This window comes from Homo sapiens, chromosome 4 (assembly GCF_000001405.40).
Source record: "Homo sapiens chromosome 4, GRCh38.p14 Primary Assembly".
Lineage (NCBI taxonomy): Eukaryota > Metazoa > Chordata > Mammalia > Primates > Hominidae > Homo > Homo sapiens.
The window spans coordinates 38,506,787-38,530,439 of record NC_000004.12 but is presented as its reverse complement, the minus strand read 5'-3'; the positions used below and the strand labels follow the sequence as shown (position 1 = coordinate 38,530,439).

Sequence of the window (23,653 nt, the reverse complement as noted above, 5' to 3'; positions counted from 1 at the left end):
TGTGGAAACTCAATGCTAAAAACTCATAATCCTTGTCTGCTAGGGATACTATATCAAATGGACATTGCCTTGATCATTTCTGAAAAGTCCCAAATTAGAAAAATATTGGATGTCAAAAGCATATCTTAAAGCCAGAGGCACAGAACTCAAAGGACTTTTCTCTTATAAAAATTTTATATCTTTAATACAAGTTGTCTTCCCAAAATGACTGAATGTATACTATACCTCAGATATAACTAGATTTAGTATAAGTTAATTCAGTTTACCAATACATTTATGGTTTACTTTGTGAGAAACTAGAATCCAAAAGTGAGTAAGACCTATCTCCTGCTCGCAAGCAACACATAGTCTGGTAGGTGAGGCAAACCGGTAAACACATGACTGCCAGCAGGCACAGTGGGCGCAGAGTCACTCAGGAAGGCTTCATGGAGAGTGCTGGTCACCTATGCACCAAGTACGTGGTGTTGCTAAGCGACAAACCAGGAAGCCCGGAGCACATTTCCCACTGACTGAGCTCTCGCAGTAGAAGAGGAAGGTTCTGCCTGTCCTGCTCTTCTGATCTGCTGATCAGGTGTGGAGTAGCACCAGCTTCAAGGTGGTAGGTCCATGGCCCAGAGCACAGGCTGAATGACTTGTCAAACCAGGACTTCCTGCCAACGCAATTCTGCAGGCTAACTTCCTGTTTTTGTTTTTGCTGTTTTTCTTTTTTCATCAGGAACCAGGCAGGGGAGCTTGGTTTTCTTCCACTGACACCACCATCGATTTCTTCCCTTCTTTGGCCCATTGTGCAGCTGAGAGAGGCCCAAGAAACTCATTAAGAGCTTCCCACTGCCTTCAGGATACCATGTAACCTCCCTTCAGGGCTGGGTCTCATCCACCTCTTCATCTTGCCCTCAGCCAGGCCCCATAATGTTCTCTGTGCTGCAGCCATGCCACACTCCTTGTGGTTCCTCAGACATGCCACACTCTTCAGCCTTTTCTCCAATCTCTTTTACATGCTCTTCCTTTGCCCGAAAATAATTTCCCTCCTACTCTTGGCCTGCTGAAGCCTCGTCAAGCTTCAGGCCTCAGCGTGCATGTCATTTCCTCAGGAAGGTCTTTGCTGGCCGCTACGATGAGGTAGCTCCTAGATGACCCAGCACTTCCCTTATCTGAGTCCTCATTAAACCTCATGGTGACCTTTCTTCTCCAAGCTGCAGGGGAGGGCACAGACCACATCTGACTGGCTCATCCTTGTATTTCCAGGGCCGGCCTATAATTTGGTGGATTCAGGTCCAGCTTCCTGGGTGGGGGACCTGTGGAGTTACACAGGGACTCATGCTTAGACAGGTGGCTTTAATGCTTGGCTTAATGCTGCTGTCATCTAGAAAGTTCTTTTTTCGTTTTCTTTTTTTTTTTTTTTTTGAGACAGGGTCTAGCTCTGTCGCCCAGTCTGGAGTGCAGTGGCACCATCTCGGCTCACTGCAACATCTGCCTCCCGGGTTCAAATGATTCTCTTGCCTCAGTCTCTCGAGTAGCTGGGATTACAGGTGCCCACCACCAGGCCTGGCTAATTTTTTGTATTTTTAGTAGAGACGGGGTTTCACTATGTTGGCCAGGCTGGTCTTAAACTCCTGACCTCAAGTGATCTGCCCACCTTGGCCTCCCAAAGTGCTCAGATTACTCGAGTGAGCCACTGTGCCTGGCTGCTATCTAGAAAAGTCTTAATTTTTGAACAAGAGGCCCCATATTTTCATTGTGCACTGAGCCTCACATATTATGAAACTGATACTACATGGATGAATAAATAAATCAATGGATATGTATTAATCCTTACAATATATTGAGCCAAGGAAATTAAAGCTTCTGAAGGTCTCATTTTGAACAAGATAGAATAATTTAGCAAAAGTTGCAATGTATTATGCAGATGCCTTTATGATCTATTTTGCTATTTTTCACATACTATTTGTTCATATGAGAAAAGAGAAGCTTTACCTGAAAGATATGTATTGTCTGTTCTGTGAGATGTATATCCATTAAAAATTATATTTTATTCAACTACAACCATTATGAATTTAAAAAAGAGAAAAAAGAAGTCCAGAATGACTTGCTTTGTCTTATTCATTATAACTGGAAAGAAAGGTACAACTTCTTAAGAAAGAAAAAGAAGCAGGAAAAATTTTGCAAATAATGTTACCTAGATGTCTATCTCTGTAGGATTGAATGAATATCAGCAGAAATATCTGTTTGGGTAGTAAATGCAATATTAGAAAAGAATGAATCTCAAAGGAGAAAGATGCAAGATATGGCTATTTCATTCATAAACCCAAGGATGTCATTCAAGAGAGGCCATTTCTGGGCTTTGAACTTTTAAGGCTTGCAGAGAACTTCCTGGTAAGCATTGTGAAGGCAGCCAAGGAGTGTCTTAGTTAGTTCAAGCTGCTGTAACAAAGTGCTATAGACTTTAAAATGGTAGAAATTTGCTTCTCACAGTTCTGGAGGCTGGGAATTCCAAGACCAAGGCACTAGCAGATTTGGTGATTGGTGAGGGCCCATCTCCTCACAGATGGTGCCTTCTCACTGTGTCCTCATGTGGTAGAAGGGGATATGGAACTTCCTCAGGCCTCTTTTCTAAGGGCATTAGCTCTATTCATGACAGTTCCACCCTCATGACTTAATCACCCCCCAAAGACCTCACCTTCTAATACCATCACTGTGGGGTGGGGGGTGCGGTGGGTGGGGTTAGGATTTCAACATGTGAATTTTGGAGAGACACAAACATTCAGATCACAGCAGGGGTCATCTAATAATTTTTTAAGGGTTTCTCTGAGCCACCACTACCATCTCTAGCAGGAAGCAATGGCTGTTTTTACCTTCTTTGATGGATTGTGAAGAAGGCAGCTCATTGCACAGGGGAGGGTGGGAAGGTAAATTCCAACACAACTGGGCCCGGAGCCTCTATACCATTTGAGAAGCTGATTTATTTCTCATTCGTATGGTCAAGAGGACCAGCTCCTCCAACTATGATGATCTATCTATGCTGATTACTTGCTGTGTGATTCCGCTCTTCAGCTCTCAGCTTTCTCATCCATAAAACAGGGTAGATAAAGGCTTTATATAACACCTCCCACCTGTCTTTCGAGTACCCAAGTCTCCACCAAAGGACAGGTCTTTCCTTGTTCCTGGGCATGTGGAAACCCACATCCTGATCTCATCCTCTGGATTTATCCTCACCAAGTCCCCATTTGCCAATTCCTGAAGCCATTATTATTATTATTATTATTATTTTTGAGACACAGTCTCGTTCTGTCACCCACGCTGCAGTGCAGTGGCATGATCTTGGCTCACTGCAAGCTCCGCCTCCCGGGCTCACGCCATTCTCCTGCCTCAGCCTCCCAAGTAGCTGGGACTACAGGTGCCCACCACCATGCCTGGCTAATTTTTTTGTATTTTTTTTAGAAGAGATGCGGTTTCACCGTGTTAGCCAGGATGGTCTCGATCTCCTGACCTCGTGATCTGCCCACCTCGGCCTCCCAAAGTGCTGGGATTACAGGTGTGAGCCACTGTGCCCGGCCTCCTGAACCCATTCTTTCTTGTACATGCTGTTATCTTTGTCTGTGTGTCCTACTGAACACTCTCCCTTCACTTTCCACACTTCCTTGATTTCCCTACCTAATCCCTCTCATCCTTCAAGAGGTTAAATTCCACCCTACCCAGAGCTCTCTGGAGCGGCACCCTCCACCCCACGTTCTGCAAGATCAAGCATGGAGACACCTGTGTGCTCCCACATCACGTGCTTGCTTCTGCCCTGGCTCTCATTACACTGTATTGTCATTGTCTATTTCCTTGTTTGTTTCCCTCAGGAGTCCCAGGGTTCTTTGCGGGCCTGGACTCTGCCTCTTCAACATCTAACACAGTCACTGGGACATAATAGGTGTCCAATTCATGTTTGTAGAATGAATGAAGCAAGGAAGGAGTGAATGAAGGCCTCGTTTTCACCAGTTGTCTTTTAGAAAGCCTCCTGGAGGAATAGGGAAGGTCAAGTGGTAGAAGCTGCCTGACTGGTGGGAGAAAGGCTGTCTCTGCCCTCAGCTGGCCATTCTGCATGGCCTAAGCCCAGCTGGCCCAGTTCACAGTGCCCTGTGGGCAGTAGCACCAGAAGGCATCAGGGAGCTCCTTGTATTTTATTGACCTCCTGTGCATTTGCTGGGATGTCCTCACCATGTCTTGGTGGGATTGGCAGTAGGAAGTAGGGGAGGGGAGTAATTCTCCTCACTTGATGTACCTTCTGCCAGGCTGACAGGATTCTTCCTGCAGATAGAATATGATAGAGACATGATCACCAGGCTTGGCCAGGACAGTGACGTACATGGTGAAGTCACGTATCCAGTGAATGTTCATTGAGTGCCTGCTTTGAGCTGGACATTCAGCTGGTGCTAACTGGTTATAGAGTAGCCAGCACAATACCTGGCCTCAAGGAGCTAATAGTCTGTTCAGAGAGCCGGACCGTGAACGGAATATTATAGTGAAATTATAATTAGGTAACCCTTTTTCCCCCCTCAAGGTCTAAACAGCTAAAGAAGCCCAAATCCCTGCTTTTATGAAAATAGAAACATCAAGCTGAGATCAGGAATTTTAAAATTAACCAAGTCCTTTTATTTACATGATCCTTAGACCTCATGAGTCAAGTATAATTGTCTTCCTTTCAGATAAGAAAACTGAGGCTTAGAGACATTAAGCAATTTGCTTAAAGTCACCTAATTTTCAGGGGTGTCTTGGGACCAGTACCATTCAGATTATTCTCCTAAACCTACTCCTGTATTTTCCATTTTCCAGAAGGCTTGGTGCTTAGGAAGCCAATTCTGAGGCTTTTTAAGGTCCTGAGTTGCCTTTGAAATGATCAAAGAGACAGTTAGACTCAATATGGTTAAGTTATAAATGCGTTTTCTGAGTTTTGATTCTTTGCAAATTAGCCATCCATGGAGGGCACGTGACATAACGGGAGCAGGTCTTGGCACAAAGGCAGGAACTGCAGCAGGGAGGTGGGTGGGCAGGGAGCGAGGGAGATGAGATGCGGGGCTCCTCTGAGCATGGGGAGTGACCTGAGGCTCTGCTCGGGCTGCAGAGGCCAGGCTGGGGAAGGAGGCCCGGTGGCCTGAGGCATAGTGGTCAAAGGACAGTGCATACTCAGGCAAAGTTAAGACCAGCATCGGCACCAATTGGCATTAGTGAGTGTAATTCAGCCATTGGGAACCAGCCAGGATACTAATCTGTGGCCCCAAGCTCAGCAGCCAGTGCAGCCAGGTGAGCTGTACAGCCCAGTGGGAGGAGAAGCTCACCCTCCTTCAGAGGAGATAGGCACCAAGGCGGGGAGAGACCATCCTAGAAGGAGGAAGAGAGATTGGGACATGGCTCCGGATTATTGAGCAGGCTGTGATGTGGGGGATGAGGACACAAGAAAAGAACCAACATTCACTGATCACCTACTCTGTGCCAAATGATTTTACATGCATCATCTCCAGTTCTTTCAACAGTCCTGTGAGGGGGTATTAGTGTCCCCACTTTACAGGTAAGGTCACAATTTGCCAGCGGTCACAGAGTAATCAGAGGCCATAGCAGAGGCAGAATCTGAGCACAAACCTTCCTGACTCTTTGCCCCCAACACAGGGTGGGCAGGAGTTCCCCAAGGGGCTCCAGGACTCCCAGGATGCACACAGTCCAACTCTGGTTGACTTTGTGCCTAAACTCTTCTTTTTTTTTTTTGAGACAGAGTTGACCTGTCACCCAGGCTGGAGTGCAGTGGCACGATCTTGGCTTACTGCAACCACCGCCTCCTGGAGTCAAGCGATTCTCCTGCCTCAGCCTTTTGAGTAGCTGGGATTACAGGCACCCGCCACCACGCCCAGCTAATTTTTGAATTTTTAGTAAGGTGAGGTATCACCATGTTGGCCAGGCTGGTCTTGAACTCCTGACCTCAAGTGATCTGCCAGCCTTGGCCTCCCAAAGTGCTGGAATTATAAGTGTAAGCCAGTGCGCCTGGCCTGTGCCTGAATTCTGAAGTCCCACCTACCATGGTGTATCCCAGGCCACTGATCTATTGCCCCACCTAGAAAAGGAGACAAGTCTGGACCCAGCCAAGCGGGTGAAACTGACAGAGGAGCTGGCGCAGGGAAAGGAAGAAGGGCTGTAGAGAGTATGTGGCAACTTGCAATTAGGTAGAAGAGTCAGTTACTCAGAATACCACATGCCGCAACCATGCCGAAATGAGTTTACTGTAATTCCAGATAAAAACAAAACTGTCGGAGCAGAGACTTAGAGACTCGAGGCAGGGTTGGCTTATTTTTTTTTCTATGGTTTCGATATAATTCAGCACTTTCACTTTGTGAAGATAGACCTGACCTTTATGTGGTCTGGAGAATGCTGACTCAACATCAGGGTAACCAATGGTGCACTCATGACCCGAAACAAGACTGGTGGTTGTCAGGGTTCTTAAAGCTCCACACTTGGGCTCTCCACGATCTCGGAAAACCGTGCCTTTATCAGAAATGACAGCCCTTGTTCAAACAGAGATCTGGATAGGTGCGCATTAATTTCAAACATTTTTTTAAAAAGATATTTTCCTGACTTTGTAAGAGGTAGAGTAGGATGCTGATTTAGCGTAGGTCTTTTTCCCATTTCCTACAGTAGTACAGATGGTGACTGAAGGGCAGATGAAAAAAGAAAAGGGGAAGGAAGGGAGGAGAAAAGAGGAAGAGGGTATGGGGGAAGAGGGATGGCCGGCAAAGGAGGCCCACTTTTACTTCCTTGGAAATATTTCGTTCATTTTGAAAACTCAAACTCAAGTTTCTCCTGGAAAAGAAAAAGGCTTGGGATCTCCCAATTGCCTATTGGTATGATTTTTATCTAGCTCCACTTTTTGATTCTTTAGGAATCAAACCGTGAACTTAATTTTTCCTCCTATTTGAAAAGCATAGGCAAAAGTCCTGCCCTCTTTTCCAAAACAAAATGCAGCATCCACCCCCGACCCCCACCACACCTCAAAGCCCCAAAGTGACATTTTCAACAGACTTATCATAAATCAAATCTGCTGTGCACACCAGTAAATAGTGCCAGTAAGCCAGGTGAACCAAATCAGATTTTTCAGCCTTGACTTCCAGTGGTGAGAACAAGGATGTGCTGACCTAGGAAAAATGACAAGTCATGGGCGCCCTGCACCGGCCCTTTCAGAAGACGTAGAACACTGCAGGGGGTGGAGTCTGGAATAAGGAGAATCTGGAATCAGTGATGACCTAGTTGTCTTGAGGGCCAGGCTGAGGAGAAGCCTGATGGGTTACGCTTCAGAATTTCATGTGCTCATGGTAGGTCCTCTGCATTTTCCCTGTCAGAGTGGATGTTGAACTCTGGTGAGGATGAAAGGGAAGGTCCCAGAAATGACCTATGCTCTTGCTGGGGAGATCCAACATCTGGCTCAAGCCTTAAGCAACAGCCCCCTTGTCCCAGTCTTGATTTTGGACTCTCCATGAAGGCAACCTATCACAGACAGCCTAGAGAAAGCATACCACAGCTCATAAAATGTTGCTAGCATTCTGCCTATTGTAAAATTATCTGTAGGAGCCAACCTGTGTTCTGGAAAGTTATGGGTATAAGACGACGTGTTATAGGTGATTTTGATTTTCTTAATTTGTTTAACAAGCTTGAATTTGAACCCCAACCATTGGATCAAAAATGTCACATTTCTGGCCAGATGTGTTGGCTCACTCCTATAATCCCAACATTTTGAAAGGCCAAGGTGGGAAGATTGCTAGAGGCCAGGAGTTCAAGACCAGCTTGGGCAACATAACAAGTCCCCGTCTCTATAAAAAAAAAAAAAAAGTCACATTTCTCAATTAACTGTGGGTCTGAGCCTTTGCTTTTAAGGGTTGAAAAATCTTATCACAATTACATTTTAGGGAAACCATTCTCTTTCATAAGGTTATAATAACACGCTCCTTGGGACTTATGTGGTGCTTAAAAAATGAGAGAGGAGGCCCTTTTTTTTTTTTTTTTTGAGACAGAATCTCGCCTGTCGCCCAGGCTGGAGTGCAGTGGTGCAATATCAGCTCACTGCAAGCTCCGCCTCCCAGATTCATGCCATTCTCCTGCCTCAGCCTCCCAAGTAGCTGGTACTACAGGTTCCTGCCACCACTCCTGGCTAATTTTTTGTATTTTTAGTAGAGATGGGGTTTCACCGTGTTAGCCAGGATGGTCTCAATCTCCTGACCTCGTGATCTGCCCACCTCAGCCTCCCAAAGTGCTGGGATTACAGGCGTGAGCCACCGTGTCCGGCTGGCCCCTTCTCCATCACTTGTGGTCATTATCCTTCTTGGTGCCTTTGGGACACCGAAATCCAGGGGATCTCCTTTCCTGGTGGCCTGATTTACTATCTGCAAGCTTTGTCACAGACATTCTTCCAGGGTTTGAGGCTGCAGCTTGCAGAATGTAACCATGATAACACCCCAATGTCTGGGAAGCCCTGTGTAAGTGGGGCAAGGATTTCAAAGAAACTCCAAGCCTCCACCCCGCTTCATAACACTGAGAAATCAGCTTACATGGTTTAGGTCTTTGCCCCTTCCAACTCAAAGCACCAGCTCCTATATCCTTCTGCTCTGGTGCAAATGAGTTGAACCCCTCCTCTTTGGCCCCTTTATTAGCGTGCAAAGACTGCCGTAACAAAATGCCACGAACCAGGTGGCTTAAACAACAGAAATTTATCATCTCCCAGTTCTGGTGTCTGGAAGACCAGATCAAAATGTTGTCAGAGTCCTTCTGCAGGTTGTGAAGGAAAGATTTGTTCTAGGCCTCTCCCTTTGGCCTTGTAGATGCCCATCTTCTCTCTGTGTCTTCCCTCTGTGCATAGCTCTTTTTTATAAGGACACTAGTCATAATGGATTAGGGCTCACTCTAATGACCCCACTTTCACTTGATTGCCTCTGTAAAGACCTCACCTCCAAATAAAGTCATACTGAGGTCCTAGGTGTTAGGACTTGGACATATGCATTTTGGGGGTAAATAATTCAACCCATAACAGGCCCTAAACATAAGATGTGGGGAGGGGAAAGTGAGAGCTCAAACTTTTTTTTTTTTTTTTAATAAACTTTACTTTTTAGAACAGTGATAGATTCACAGGAAAATTGAGAAGATAGTATAGAGTTCCCGTGTACAGTACACTCTGTCACCCAGTTTACCCCATTGCTAATATCACCTTCCTTATGGTGGGTTTGTTATGACAAATAAACCAGTATTGATACATTATTGCGAACCAAAGTCCATAGTTTGCTCACATTTCCTTAGTTTCTATTTAATGTCCTTTTTCTCCCTCTGGATCTCATCCAGGTTCCATGTGGCACTTATTTGCCGTGTCTCCTTAGGCTCCTGGTTGGCTGTGACTGTTTCTCAGACTTTTTGGTGACTTTGACAGTTTTGAGGAGTACTGATCAAGCATTTTGTAGGATACCCCCCTACTGGAATTTATCTGATGGTTTTCTCATGATTAGACTGAAGTTATGGGTTTTTGGAAGGAAAATCACAGTGATAAAGTACCATTCCTGTTACTGTGTATTGAGGGTCTGTGTTCTCAACGTAATTCATCACTGTTGATATTGGCTTTGATAACCGTATTAGTCCGTTTTCATGCTGCTAATAAAGACATACCCGAGACTGGGCAATTTACAAAAGAAAGAGCTTTAATGAACTCACAGTTCCATGTGGCTGGGGAGGCCTCACAATCATGGCGGTAGGTGAAAGGCACGTCTCACAGGTTGGCAGACAAGAGAAGAGAGCGTGTGCAGGGAAACTCCCCTTTTTAAAACCATCAGATCTCATGAAACTTATTCACTATCACGAGGATGGCATGGGAAAGACCTGCTCCCATGATTTAATTACTTCCCACCAGGTAGGTCCCTCCCACAACACATAGGAATTCAAGATGACATTTGGGTAAGGAAACAGCAAAACCATATCAATCACCCTGCTGAAGTAATGTTTGTCAGGTTTCTTGATTGTAAATTGACTCTCCCCTGACCCTTTCCCTACTGTACTCTTTGCAGGGAATTTACTATGTGCAACTTACACTAAAGGAGTGAGGATTTATGTTCTCCTACCTTGAGCATGGAGTATCTACATAAATTCTTCAGAATTCTTCTGCATGGGAGATTTGTCTGTCCTCCCCATTTATTAATTTATCTAATCACTTATTAATATCAGTGTGGATATATGGATATTTATTTTATACTTTGGGTTATAATTCAGTACTACTTTGTTTTGTTGCTCAAATTGTTCCAGCTTTGGCCATTGGGAGCTCTTTCAGTTGGTTCCTGTGGCCTTTTGACATACCACTGTCAATGTAGGGTTTTTTTGTTTTTTGCTTTTAGTACTTCCTTTCTTTCTGGAACTCCGAGATGCCAAGCTTGCCTCTTATTAGTCCTGACTCTGAGCCCAATTTTTATGTGTAAACTTTGAACCTGTTCCTGATGCCCCTGCCCCACCTTTTGTCATTGTTCAAGAAACTCAGTTCTGCCTTAGTGCTTAATTCCCTCCTTGTATCTACTTACATCCCATCTGCTGACTGCTGAGCCACTTCCTTGTGTTGGTCACAGTTCTGCTTTGATTTTTCCAGTTTGGCCTCCTCTCTGTTCCCTATTTCTGTGCTGTCTTTCTTTGTCAGCCACTCATGCTCCCCAAATTCAGCCTCAGACCTCCCTCCAGCTGAGTCTCTTTAGGGTCATGCAGGTCCATCACCACCAGATCCTCTCAATCATTACCCCTCCCAGAAAATTCATTTTATCGTCTCCATAAGGAAACCAACCTGAAACAGCATTTTCCACAGCATACTTCACACTTTCATCTGTAAAAATAAAACTCTAAAGTCAAATCATGTGATCGCCATCTCCTTTATTTTCTTAATTTACATTAGCATATTACAGACATGTCCTTAGTAAGAGTTTTACCCTGTAAATCTGACCATGGAATCTTTTTGCCATTGTTGCTGGTATCATGCCTGTTGTTTCTAGTGTCTACTTGGGGAAACATCACCCTTACTGCTAAGAGCAGTGGTTAGCCCAGAGGTTAAGTGCCTTGATAGGGCACCGCACTGTCTCTTATGAGACATGTGACCTTGGATAAATTATTTAATCTCATATTCATTTGTAAAATCAGGCTGATCATAGTATATTGCCTTATAAGGATAAAATAAAATAATTAAAGCAAGGTGCTTAAAATGGTAAGCTGGAATATTATAACCACTCAATAAGTGACTTTTGTTATTATTATTATTTTTCTTATGCATCTTTGGGCCACTTCCAGTTCTGTAGTCTACAATGTCTTCAAGGTACTCTTTCTTGGCAATAACGAATATCCCAGAACCCATCATTCTGTGCAATCATTTTAGAAAACTTCCTTATAATTTATGATCTTACCTGTATATATATTAAGGTCCCTTTGCCATATTTTTGCTCACTCTTGCAACCTCAAGAAGTTTTCCTGCACTTTGTTTAGTCACTTCAATTGTGCCTGAATTAAAATAAAATCTCCATGATGGTTGGGGGAAAAATCAGCTTGTATCTCTCCCACAAAACAGATGGGAAAAATTATTCAGAACAAGACAGTCTCTAAAGGTACAAATAGTGCCCCTTCTTTTAGGAGAGAGAATGACTTCTTGTTTTGGGCGTATGCCAAAGTCTGGGATAAAATTAAGTTACTCCTTGTTTATTTCCATTTTCCTATATTATCTTCAGCTGTCTGATGACTCGGCCCATTCTTAGTGCAGTCTCCTTTCTCCACCTGGAGGCTATGGCCCAAAAGGAATAATCTCTTTTAGAAACAAACCCAAAACAATGAATTATAAAATCTACTTTATTTATAATTACAAAGTAACACATCAATATATTCTCTTACATGTAATGCTGAAGTCTTCATTGACAACCAGCCCAATCTCAGAGTGCTTATAGTGTGCAGTTACAGTCAGGTGCACATGTGCACACGCACACATACACACACACTATAACATTGTTTTGTGTTTGCTTTTGCATAATTTGCATATCTTTTTATTTTTCAGTCTATAGTCTTTGTTTAAAAAATATCTTTCATAGTGATTCACATTAGCCATTATCATTCCTAGCTATAACTTAATTAAAACGTACCCCAAGTACCAATAGTTAATATCATCAGTACATCTGTGGAAATCTTTTCTGATTAGATTGCCTAGGTTGGTGGTTCTCAGACTTTGCCACATATCAGACTCACCTGGGAAGCCTTTAAAACTCATGATGCTGGCCAGGTGTGGTGGCTACGCCTGTAATCTCAGCACTTTGGGAGTCTGAGGCAGGTGGATTGCCTGAGCTCAGGAGTTCGAGATCAGCCTGGTCAACATGGTGAAACCCTATCTCCACTAAAAATACAAAAAATTAGCTGGGTGTGGTGGTGTGCACCTGCATTTCCAGCTACTCAGGAGGCTGGGGCATGAGAATTGCCTGAACCTGGGAGGCAGAGGTTGCAGTGAGCCGAGATTGCACCACTGCACTCCAGCCTGGGCAACAGGGCAAGACTCTATTAAAAAAAAAAAATTATGATGCTGAGGCTTCACCCTGAGCCAATGAAATCAGAATCTTGGGAGGAGGGGGCACATACAGGCATCAGCAGTTTTAAAAAGATGGCCAGGTGATTCCAACATGCAGACAAATTTGAAAACAAGAGGCTTAGGAGGTGTCTGGATCCCATCTCTTCAAACCTGCTTCCTGGAGATTTCTTGTTCAAATCCACGTGTAAAGAGAGGTTTTGAATTTGTCATTCATCCCAGCTCTGCAGGGATGAAACTGCCCAGGCAGATCAGGGGAACCTGCTTTTCATATACGGCCACTGTCAACAAGAAAAGCTGGTAAGTACTACTGTAGCTTTTTATTGTAATCTCTTCTGTGATATTTTGGAAATATTGTAACAGGTTCCTTTGAGCAGTCAATACAACCTTAGGGAACAATTGGAATCCCTGTGGAGGCTCAAAACATTTATTTTTTCTAATTTAAAACTTTATGTTTAAAACTTATTGACCAAAAGAGATTTGTTTTGCAGAACTCTGTGACAAGTCCATAGAACTATCTTGTAGATGCTGTGTTGGTGATAATACCAGGGGCTAAAGTAGCACTGAGGTATGAAATTCCAGGTGCTCAGCTCATGTAGGAAATAAAGGGGCAATGCTTTAGGACATACGGGAGGTAAAAGAGTGAAGGGTGAAAGCCAGGGGCTTACCTTTAGACAGACTCGTGTTCAAATATTGGCTCCACTGTTTTGCCTATACCTTGGTCAAATTACTTCACCTTTTTAAGGCTGTTTCTCATCTGTAGTATGAAATGAGTACAATATTGCCTATCTCATATGTATGTTCTGTTGATTGTTGACATTTTTATTTAAAGCACCTAACAGTTGTTGGCACCTAGTAGGCATTCAGCAAATGCTATCTGATCTTTCCATATCAAAGATGGAAAATAATCCATTACCCAGCTGTGGGTCGTATACACAGAATTTAAATATTGATTTCCCCTTATTTGCATTCCACAACTTTAAGAGAGGTAAAATATCCATGGGACAGGAAATGGATACATTTTAAGGAGGAACTTAGCAGAGGAGACCGGGTAGAGGTGAAACATTTATACTACCATCAGTCCTCCTTTCGTCTGGTTCTGATATGTACAAATTTTTATTTGGCACAATTTAGTTAATTAGCACTAGACTTCTATTGCACTTGACCTCAAATCTAAAGGCAAATCTAAAGAAACGCTGGGAAATACTACAGTAGATTTTAATTGTAATCTCTTCTCTGATATTTTGGAAATATTTAACAGGTTCCTTCTGAGATGTTGATAAAACCTTAAGGAACAATTGGGATCACAGTTTATATTCCGGTTATCATGACATATTAATTGTGAGCAATTGGATAAATACAACCAATCACAGACATTGCTGCTAGCTCTTCAGTCCACAAATCCCTACACAAATAATAGATGTGCAACATAACCATGACTAATCACGTCACTTCTTTCAATGTCTGTCCTGTGCATCTGTTGTTAAGTTCATATGCAGACTGCAAAGCCTGTAGTTGTGTTGCTTCCTTGTCTCCTGGTGATAAATCCATGTGACATTTTACATAAATAGAAAATCAAAAGAAGGAATTGGCCAATAAAAATAAAAGTGAAGCAAGAAAACAAAAAGGGAGAATGTTAAAAGTGATTTTTTTCTGTAAAAAAATTTTTAGTTTTTTAGAGACAGGGTCTCATTCCATAACCAAGGCTGGAGTACAGTGGTGCAATCATACCTCACTGTGGCCTCAAACTACCAATTCTTCCACCTCAGTCTCTTGAGTAGCTAGGACTATAGGCTTTCACTTTGTGTGTGTGTGGCGGGCGGGGGGGGGGGGTGTTGGGGAGGGGTGTCTCACTATGTTGCCAAGGCTGGCCTTGAACTCCTGGCCTCAATTGATCCTCCAGCCTCAGCTTCCCAAAAGTGCTGGGATTACAGGCATGGGCCACTGTACCCAGCTCTAGAAGTGATTTCTAATTGAATGTCAATAGAAGAAACACCGAAGTGTGAGAGTTTCCAGCCATGAAGCCAGAGAAACTTAATGAAGGTAAAATTATTGACAAAAATGAGGAAAGTGGTTGTGATTAAAAAGATGAATGAAGATGCCCTAGAGAAAATAATACTGGCAAAAAACTTCACATCAAAGATATTCTTGGATATATTTTACAACATTGAAAATGCAAAGGAGAAAATGTTGGAAGCTGATCCAAACTTAGAAAGGAGCATGACAATTTGCCAAGATGTAGAAAAAATGCTTGCTCTATATCATAAGTTGTAAGATGAGAAGCAAGCATTATTCACACCACTCATGATGCATTTTTTACAAGGAAATAAAATACTTCAATTCTCAATGTTTCTAATGTTTTAAATTACCATCTACTATATAAATATTAGTTTTACTCTTTTTTTCATTTCCCTATATATTTATAATTGACAGTAAGAGAGTTTTTAACATTTTGAAAAAAAACTCTTAATTTTCATTATTTTAGAGACTGGGTTTTGCTTTGTCACCCAGGTTAGAGAGCAGTGGCATGATCATGGCTCACTGCAGCCTCAGACTCCTGGGCTCAAGTGATTCTCCTGCCTCAGCCTCCCAAGCAGCGGACGACAGGCGCGTGCCACCACATCCAGCTAATTTTTAAATTATTTTGTAAAGACAGGGTCTCGCTATATTGCCTAGGCTGGCCTCAAACTCCTGGCTCGAATGATCTTCCTGTCTTGGCCTCCCAAAGGAAAGGCATAAACTACCATGTCCAGTCTGAAAAAAAAAGTTTAAATATCATAAAAGAAATGTAACTTTTCTCATTGATGAGTAAGACTGCTTAGCATGGTTTCAGCTTGCACAGTCATTTTGATGGTCCTGTGCTGCTGTGCAAATCAAGGACTGCCTATATGAAGGGTGATGTAGGATTTATGAAGATGTATAAAGGAGAACCTGTAGTTGAGTGAGATTAAAAACAGACAACAGGAAGCTTGGCTCCTCCCTCTGCCACTTCTGGGGAAAGCAAATATGAACACCTGCGCCCCTCCAATGCCACATGTGAGAGGAATCTATGGAAAACTATTTCAATTCTTTCTGAAGGTTAATCCTCTCCTAAGAATTTCCTTAAGGTCTGTGCTGTGAACTGTTACATCTGCTTCCACAGAATCATCAGCTTCTAGAGTTGCAGGCAGAATTGGGTTGAAAGTCCACCTATAAAGTATATGCATCATACTTGATATGCAGTAAGTATTCAATCAATTATTGTTATATGATCATGAATCTTTTTGTTCAACTGTAGGGTGACCAACTGTCTCCCAGTTTGCCAGAGCCTGAAATCCATCTCAGGGGTTTTCTGGGCTGAATTTTTTTTTTTTTTTTTTTTTTTTTTTTTGAGGCAGAGCCCAAGCTGGAGTGCAGAGGTGAGATCTTGGCTCACTGCAACCTCCACTTCCTGGGTTCAAGTGATTCTCCTGCCTGAGCCTCCCAACTAGCTGGTATTAAAGGCATGTGCCACCACGCCCAGCTAATTTTTTTTTTTTTTTCTATTTTTAGTAGAGACAGGGTTTCACCATGTTGGCCAGGCTGGTCTCGAATTGCTGACCTCAGGTGATCTGCCTGCCTCAGCCTCCCAAAGTGCTGGGATTACAGGCGTGAGCAACCACGCCCAGCTGACGATTTTCAGTTCTAAAACTGAGACAGACCCAGGCCAACCAAGGTGGTTGGTTACCCTATTTGACTCTAGCTCTGAGAAAGACAAAATATTAACAGTATTGCATGAAATTCTCTTGGGATTTAGGAAGTAATTGGGAGAGAGAACATTCTCCATGAATAGTTTCTGGATTAGAATGTCAAAGGCCACTTTGGGAGGCTGAGGTGAGTGGTCGGGAGTTCAAGACCAGCCTGGCCAAGATGGTGAAATCCGGTCTCTACAAAAAATACAAAAATTAGCCAGGCATGTTGGCAGGTGCCTGTAATCCCAGCTACTCAGGAGGCTGAGGTAGAGAATTACTTGAACCTGGGAGGCAAAGGTTGTAGTGAGCCGAGATCGTGCCACTGCACTCCAGCCTGGGTGACAGAGTGAGACTCCATCTCAAGAAAAAAAAAAAAAAAGAATCTTAGGTTAGAAGAGATTTTGTGTCCCATGCTTCAACCTAGCCCAGGATGGCCTGAAATCCATTTCAGAAAGACTCTGTTTTTAAAGCCTATTAGGGAAGAAAATAAATAATGTGTTCCATTGGTAAGTATTGTGCACCAATCACTCTGCTACGGGCTGAGGGAAATACCAGATGAATAAGACTCATTTTCTGTTCTGTAGAAGCTTACATTCTAGAAAGGGAGACCACCAGTTATATGCACCATAAATTATCAAGACAGCTCACACTCTGCAAGGTATTTTAGACAAGTAATCTCATTTAATCCTCATGCTAACCCCAACAAGGTACTATCATTCCATTTTACAGATGACGAAAGTGAGATTCAGAGAGATGGAGTTATATAAAGTTGCAAAGCAAGTAACTGCTATAATTGATCTTAGGACCCAAGTCTGTAGTGGCTGAGAACATGGGCTCTGGAGTCATGCAAATCTGTGTTTGAATCCTGACTCTTCCACTGTCTTGTTATGTGACAAGTGTCCATGAGCTGCTATTTCCTCCTCTGTAAAATGGGACAAATAATAATAGCCACTTTCGAGGGTTATGAAGGATAAATGAGAAATGCATTGAGTAAGTGCTTGATGTGTAGTAAATGCTCAGCAAATACTCCTCATCATTGTCATCGCACCAAAACGCATTGTAGTTCCCCTTTAGCAGGTGGTCTCTTCCATTTCTATGCAAATCTTTCAGGGAAAGAGGCATCAGTGAAATACACTGAGAGCTCTGACTGGGGGAAGACTTCCCAACTGTGATGATGACTAAAGGCTTCGTGCAACAATAGAACTTGATCTTCATGAAAGGATAGAATTTCAATAGGTTGAGGTTGGGGCAGAAAAAATATTCCACACAGAGGTGAGGATTTCAGCTGAGGCAAAGAGGAAAGCACAGTGAGTTTGGGGAATGATAACTACTATTGGTTAGAGTGTAGGTTTTTTTTGTAAGGAGGTTGGTGGAGATATGGCTGAAAAGAAGCAAGATCCTCACAACTCAGGTGATGTTTCTAGAAGGCTTTCCTACAACCTTTGCTCCATAGGGGCTGCTCTGGCTGTCTTCTCTATTCTGGGCTCTCACATCAACTTACTATTTCCTGGGGCTACTCTTCTTCTCAGCCCTGTGAATTGCTCTGTCATCTTCATCCTTCTTTTTTTTTTTTTTTTTTTTTTTTTTTGAGACAGAGTTTCACTCTTGTTACCCAGGCTGGAGTGCAATGGTGCAATCTCAGCTCACTGTGACCTCCGCCTCCCAGGTTCAAGTGATTCCCCTGCCTCAGCCTCCCAAGTAGCTGGGATTACAGGCATAGGCCACCACGCCCGGCTAATTTTGTATTTTTAGTAGAGACGGGGTTTCTCCATGTTGGTCAGGCTGGTCTTGAACTCCCGACCTCAGGTGATCCACCCACCTCTGCCTCCCAAAGTGCTGGGATTACAGGCATGAGCCACCAAGCCTTGCCATCTTCATCCTTCTTTATGCCATGTGCTGTACATGGTGCTACACAGTTGTGTGTTCTAACCCTTCCAGGGTGTTCTCAGATAAGTTCCCAAAGTCTTACTGGATGGGTTGGATTGGAGGTGGGGCGGGGGCTGAAAGAGGGTCATGACAGGTTAGAATGTCTGAAAGATGTAAAAGACAGTCCTTTTTTTTTTTTTGCCGATATAGGTTTCAGGTTTCTTGGCTTTTTCTAGAGGACTAAATGAAATCACAGTAAAACAACCTGTAGCATGTAGGGGAGCCATGCATTTCTCAGGAAGTCTGTCTCTGAAAAGACAGTCTGGAGAGGTCAGATAAGATTTAGAAGAACATGTTTTTTACCTTCATAGAAACAGAGGATACAAGGGAGAAAATATCTGGAAAAATCTCAGATATCTGCATAAACAGATGCAGGGTTTATGATCTAGAGAACGACAACGGTGTTTTCCAGGAACTTAGCAGAAAGAAGATGCTGTGCGTGGAGGATGTTATGGGTTGAACCGTGTCTCCCCAAAATTCAAATGCTGAAGCCCTAGCTCCCAGTACCTTGGAATTTGGAGATGGAACCTTTAAAGAAGTAATTGAGTAGCCGGGCACGGTGGTTCATGCCTGTAATCCCAGCACTTCGGGAGGCTGAGGTGAGCAGATCACACGATCAGGAGATCGAGACCATCCCGGCCAACGTGGTGAAATCTCATCTCTACTAAAAATACAAAAATTAGCTGGGTGTGGTGGCACGTGCCTGTAATCCCAGCTATTTGGGAGGCTGAGGCAGGAGAATCACTTGAACCCAGGAGGTGGAGGTTGCAGTGAGCTGAGATCGCGCTACTGCACTCCAGCCTGGCGACAGAACTAGACTCCATCTAAAAAGAAAAGAAAAGAAGTAATTAAATGAAAATGAGATCATTAGGGTAGTGTCCTTATAAGAAGAGGAAATTTGGGCACAGACACAGACATGTCTTCCTTCCACACAGAAGGAAGACCATGTGAGGACACAGGGAGAAGACAGCTATCTGCAAGCCAAAGAGAGGGGTGTCAGAAGAAATCAGCCCTCTTGACATCTTAATCTTGGACTTCCAGCCTCCAGAATTGTGAGAAGAATAAATTTCTATGGTTTGAGCCACCCAGTCTGTGGTACTTAGTTACGAGGCAACCTTAGCAAACGAACACACAGGACAAGAGAATATGGTTGGCTCAGCTTCTGACAGCATTTGGTGTATTTTCTTTGCCCTTGCATTTTCATTTGTCTGTCATGAGCTCCAAATGAGCTGCATACTTCATAGATTGATCTATTTAATTTTTAGGATTCTGTCAATGTTAAAAAATGGAGAAAGTGGATTTCCTTCCACAAAGTGGATCCCTGTGATTTGTGTAATCCATGTGTAGCTCCACTGTGGCAGCCTTGAAGCCCACAGGGCTCAGCCTCCCATTTTCTCCTCCAGCCAAAGGAACCTTCTAGACTTTCCTGAGGCTTGTAAGAGGCAGATGGCACAGGGTGGCTCCATCATGTACCAGACAGTGAGCAACTTAACCAATAACCCTTTAAGATTTCCGTTCCCTTTGAGTCTCCTTACCTTGGTCTTCCTTTCAACCTTTTCCTCCACAGTCAAGGAGAATCTAGGAGCCTTCCCGGTTGCTGGTGAAGCCTAAATTTTTCTTCTTGCTATTTTGCTATAAACACTCCCCTAGGCCTGATTTTCAAAATTGTATTTACCCAGCTTATGACTCTCTACAAGTTCCTCAAGTCTGACACAGAGGGTCTTTGACCCCTCTGTTGATGTGTGGTCAGGAGCTTGCCACATGGATCCCAGCATCTCCCCACACCACCATATGCCTGTGTGAGGGCTGGCTGGCGTTCGACCACAGAGAGGCTTTGTGACTTTGAGGCCTGGTATAATTCCTAAGACCAAAACATTGCAAACATTCCACTGATTTGTTGCTTCTTCACCCCTGGGCCTGGCCCACTCTGTAGCATTTCTGCTGCTTAGTCTACTCACAACACAAGGCTGCCTAAGTAGTCCTCACCTTGGTAGTACTCACCCCTTCCCTAAGTGTCTACAGCTTCGGGCAGTGCTGGCTGCACTGTAAGCCCCACAGAAGGACTCCAGGCTCCAGGTCAACCTGCAGCAGCAGATGAGGCTGGAGCCAGGGAGTGAAATTCACTCAGGCCTCTCTGCAGTGGTCCTGTTTCCCCTTCCAGGAAATAATCCAGTTTCTCAAGAGCTTAAGTGTCTCCATCAAAACTAGCTCAAACACCATCTTCCTGTGGTTTTATGAGGGAGTTTCTTGGAGAAACTGCTCCTAACCTTATATCCTTGAGCACTTCTCATCCAGTTCCAGATGACCTTCAGAAGGTGGTCCCACAAAAGCCAGGGCCATCTCACAGCTCGCCTCTGCCAGGGTGGTAGATTTGAGGACCTCCATGGTGGTGCCAGGTTGGCCTCCTCCCTCTCTGGCAGTCATGATGAAGGCATTCACCTGTCTTGTGTCTGAGCTGAAAGTGGCTCCTCTGCCTTAAACATCCTGGGTGGGACTCAGAACCATAGCCCGATATGGTTGACTTCTCACAGGAAGCCTCTAGTTTCACCCCACAACAACCACAAAATAGGAGTCTACCTTTTCATATCTCCAAAACAAAGTCCACCTCGTAGAGTGCATCGAGTAATGTAGACATTTAACGAGGAGAAGGAGAAAAGGGCTTACATCGCACTCTCTATTCAACACTTTGGTTTTCCACACTTCCTACCAGTTAAATTTCTTCTTCAGCCATCACCTGCTTGGTCTTCCTTCCTCCAGCGTTCCTTCTCCTCTCTGAACCCTTTCTTAGAATGTGTGTGGTCTGCAGATGTTTAATGTAGTTAGTATTTCACGCATGTTAATAAGGTCAAATTGGTTGGTAGTGCTGTTCAAATCTTCTATAGCCTTTCTGATTTTTCATTGTCTACCAGTTTTATCTAGAAGTGTTAAATCTCCAACTATGACTGTGATTAATCAATTTCTGCCTTTACGGATGATTGGGACTCATCAATGTTTTCTCCATGTATTTTGATGCTTTGTGATTAGGTTGCATACATGTTCAAGATGTTAGACCTTCTTGGTTAATGAATTATTTGATTATTATGAAATGTCTCTCTTCATCTCTGGTATTACTCTTTGCCTTGGAGTCTACCTTGATATGAATATAGCAAGCCAGCTTTCTTATAACTATCTTTTGCATGTGCTCTTTTACTTTATATGTCACAAGTCTGAGTCTTTATACTTAAAATATTTATCTTGTAAACAGTATACAGGTGGGCTCTGCTGTGTTATCCAGATTGACTATTTCTGCCTTTTACTTGAATTGTTTAATCTATTTACATTTAACCTAATTATTGATAGTTTGGGTTTCAGTCTGTCATCCTAATATTTGTCTCCTTTGTTCTTTGTTGTCTTTATTTCCTGCCTTCTTTTGAGTGAACCAACTATTTTTTAACTGATCGTTTCCTTTCCTTTATTATATTTTTGTTTTACTCATATCTTTGTGCTATTTTTTGGTGGTTGCTCTAGGATTTAGACATCCATCTTTAAGTTGTTATGGTCTACATTCAAATATTCTGTTACTTCTCAAACAATGCACGGATTTTACCATCATGTACTTCCATTTAGCACCTCTCCTATGAGGGGCACCACCTTCTGTCATGCTGATCGTGTGTGTGTGTGTGTGTGTGTGTGTGTGTGTGTGTGTTTTGGGGTGAGGTCAATCTCATGTGTAGTTGTTCTAGGTCTGGGTTCGTTTGTAACTTCAGTTAGATATAAGTCACCACTGGCCTCCGATATCATTAAGACAATATGAGGACTTCCCCTTCAGCAGATCTCTAAGTGCCAATGAGACTCCAGGGATCCCTTTATGCTCTGTAGTTAACTGGTCAGCTTTCTAAACTGCAAGTGATCTCTTTCTGCTTTATAACCTGACTGCCAGCTTTTGGGGCTGCTGGGGAATTCTCTTTGCTGGTCAGTCTTACCCCTGGATGTTCATGCCTTCAAACACCTCTCTCTCTCAGACCTTTCATCTTGTCCCAGCCCCTGAGGGTTGCTGTGGTGCACTTGGGAGAGTATAGCAGTGCCCTGAAAAGATTTCTTTGGTCCCGTCTCAGCCTGCTGCAGACAGGATGGTGAAGGCTTAAAGATTGGTGAAGGCTCAGAGGGCTTTGGAGAGTTCTATCTCAGTTCACCTGCCCTGCTTCTCCACAGGAACAATCTCTCTCAGCTCTCCTGCTCTGTCCCCAGACATCGACGTGCTAACCCCATGCACTTGATGTGGAAGGAGCTGGCAGGTAGGTGCAGCTCTGCTGTAAGGCTGAGATCCTGGGGTTGCTGCTGTCTTGATAGTCCATATGCAGCTGTTCAAGTTTTGTTGACAATTCAGCTAACTTCTTCTCATTCCTACCTATGGCACATTCTTCCTCCTCCCACCAATCCCACGATGGTCTGAATGCCCATAACCCCTCAGAATTCATATATTGAATCCTAACTCCCAAGGCAACGTATTAAGAGGTAGGTTTTTGGGAGGTGATTAAGTAATGAATGCAGAGCTCTACTAATGGCATTAGCACCCTTATAAAAGAGACTGGAAGGAGCATGTTAGCCTCTTCTTGCCTTTCCATCATGTAAGGAACAGATGGTGCCCTCACCAGACACCATATCTGCTGGTGTCTTGATCTTGGACTTTCCAGCCTTCAGAACTGTAAACAAAAAAATTCTGTTGTTCACAAATCACCCAGTCTAAGATATTTTGTCACGGCAGCCCAAACAGACTAAGACAGATCTCCTGGGATGTAAGCAAATTATGAAAAACTTAGTGCTTTCTGGAATTTAGTTCAGTTAGGTTTCTTTGCATTCTCAGCTCTAGAGTGGGTCTAGTAAATGATCGTCTTGTAGTTTTCCTGGCTTTTTCTCATTGTTAGTATAAGAGTAACCATGTCTTGCCACTTACTACATTCTAACAGGAATTGAAACTCCCTAAAGTAATGTTTTATCTTTTATATGTGACCAAGTTTTCCTTTCTGATAATTTCTAACATCTTTTTTTCTACCCACAGAACTCTGAAATTTCACAATGATATGTATGTTGGTAGGGGTTTTTTGTTGTTGTTGTTATTTATTGTGTTAGGCACTGAGTAGCCTCTTTAAATATATCAGTTCTGCAAAATATTCTTGCAGTATTGCCTTAATAATTTTCTTCCCTCCCTTTTTGCTGTTCTTTTTTTGCTAGAACTCATATTACTTGGGTGTTGAACCTCCTTTCTTGATCCTCTGGGTCTCTTAGCTTTTCTCTCTTCCGTCTATATCTTTTTATTCTACTTTCTTGGAAGATTTTTTCAACGTTATTTTCCAATCACTTACATTTTAAATGTTCATATATATGTATATAATTTCTAAGAGTTCTTTTTGGCTGTTCTCCATTTTTTTTCCTTCCTTTAAAAACATAA

General features: G+C 43.2%; 2 long non-coding RNA genes across 2 annotated transcripts in view, besides 2 other annotated features; one reads left to right on the top strand and one right to left on the bottom strand.

Moving 5' to 3' along the window:
- Positions 803 to 1,032: an enhancer, noted in NCBI's record as "active region_21437". NCBI's record gives its function as "activates an Ori minimal core promoter by ATAC-STARR-seq in GM12878 lymphoblastoid cells {active_cell/tissue: GM12878}" and the evidence as "EXISTENCE:reporter gene assay evidence [ECO:0000049][PMID:35858748]".
- Positions 6,037 to 6,086: an enhancer, noted in NCBI's record as "active region_21436". NCBI's record gives its function as "activates an Ori minimal core promoter by ATAC-STARR-seq in GM12878 lymphoblastoid cells {active_cell/tissue: GM12878}" and the evidence as "EXISTENCE:reporter gene assay evidence [ECO:0000049][PMID:35858748]".
- LINC01258 (long intergenic non-protein coding RNA 1258) overlaps positions 7,260 to 23,653 on the top strand; it is a 102,519-nt gene continuing 86,125 nt past the window's right edge. Inside the window, exon 1 of the long non-coding RNA NR_110951.1 lies at positions 7,260 to 7,337. This is a non-coding gene — a long non-coding RNA (long intergenic non-protein coding RNA 1258). The remainder of the gene's footprint in view (positions 7,338 to 23,653) is intronic.
- On the bottom strand, positions 12,384 to 20,673 carry LINC01259 (long intergenic non-protein coding RNA 1259). Its single transcript, NR_149076.1, has 3 exons — positions 20,493 to 20,673; positions 13,258 to 13,346; positions 12,384 to 12,870 (listed from the first exon to the last, which is right to left on the bottom strand). It is a non-coding gene; the product is annotated as a long intergenic non-protein coding RNA 1259 (long non-coding RNA).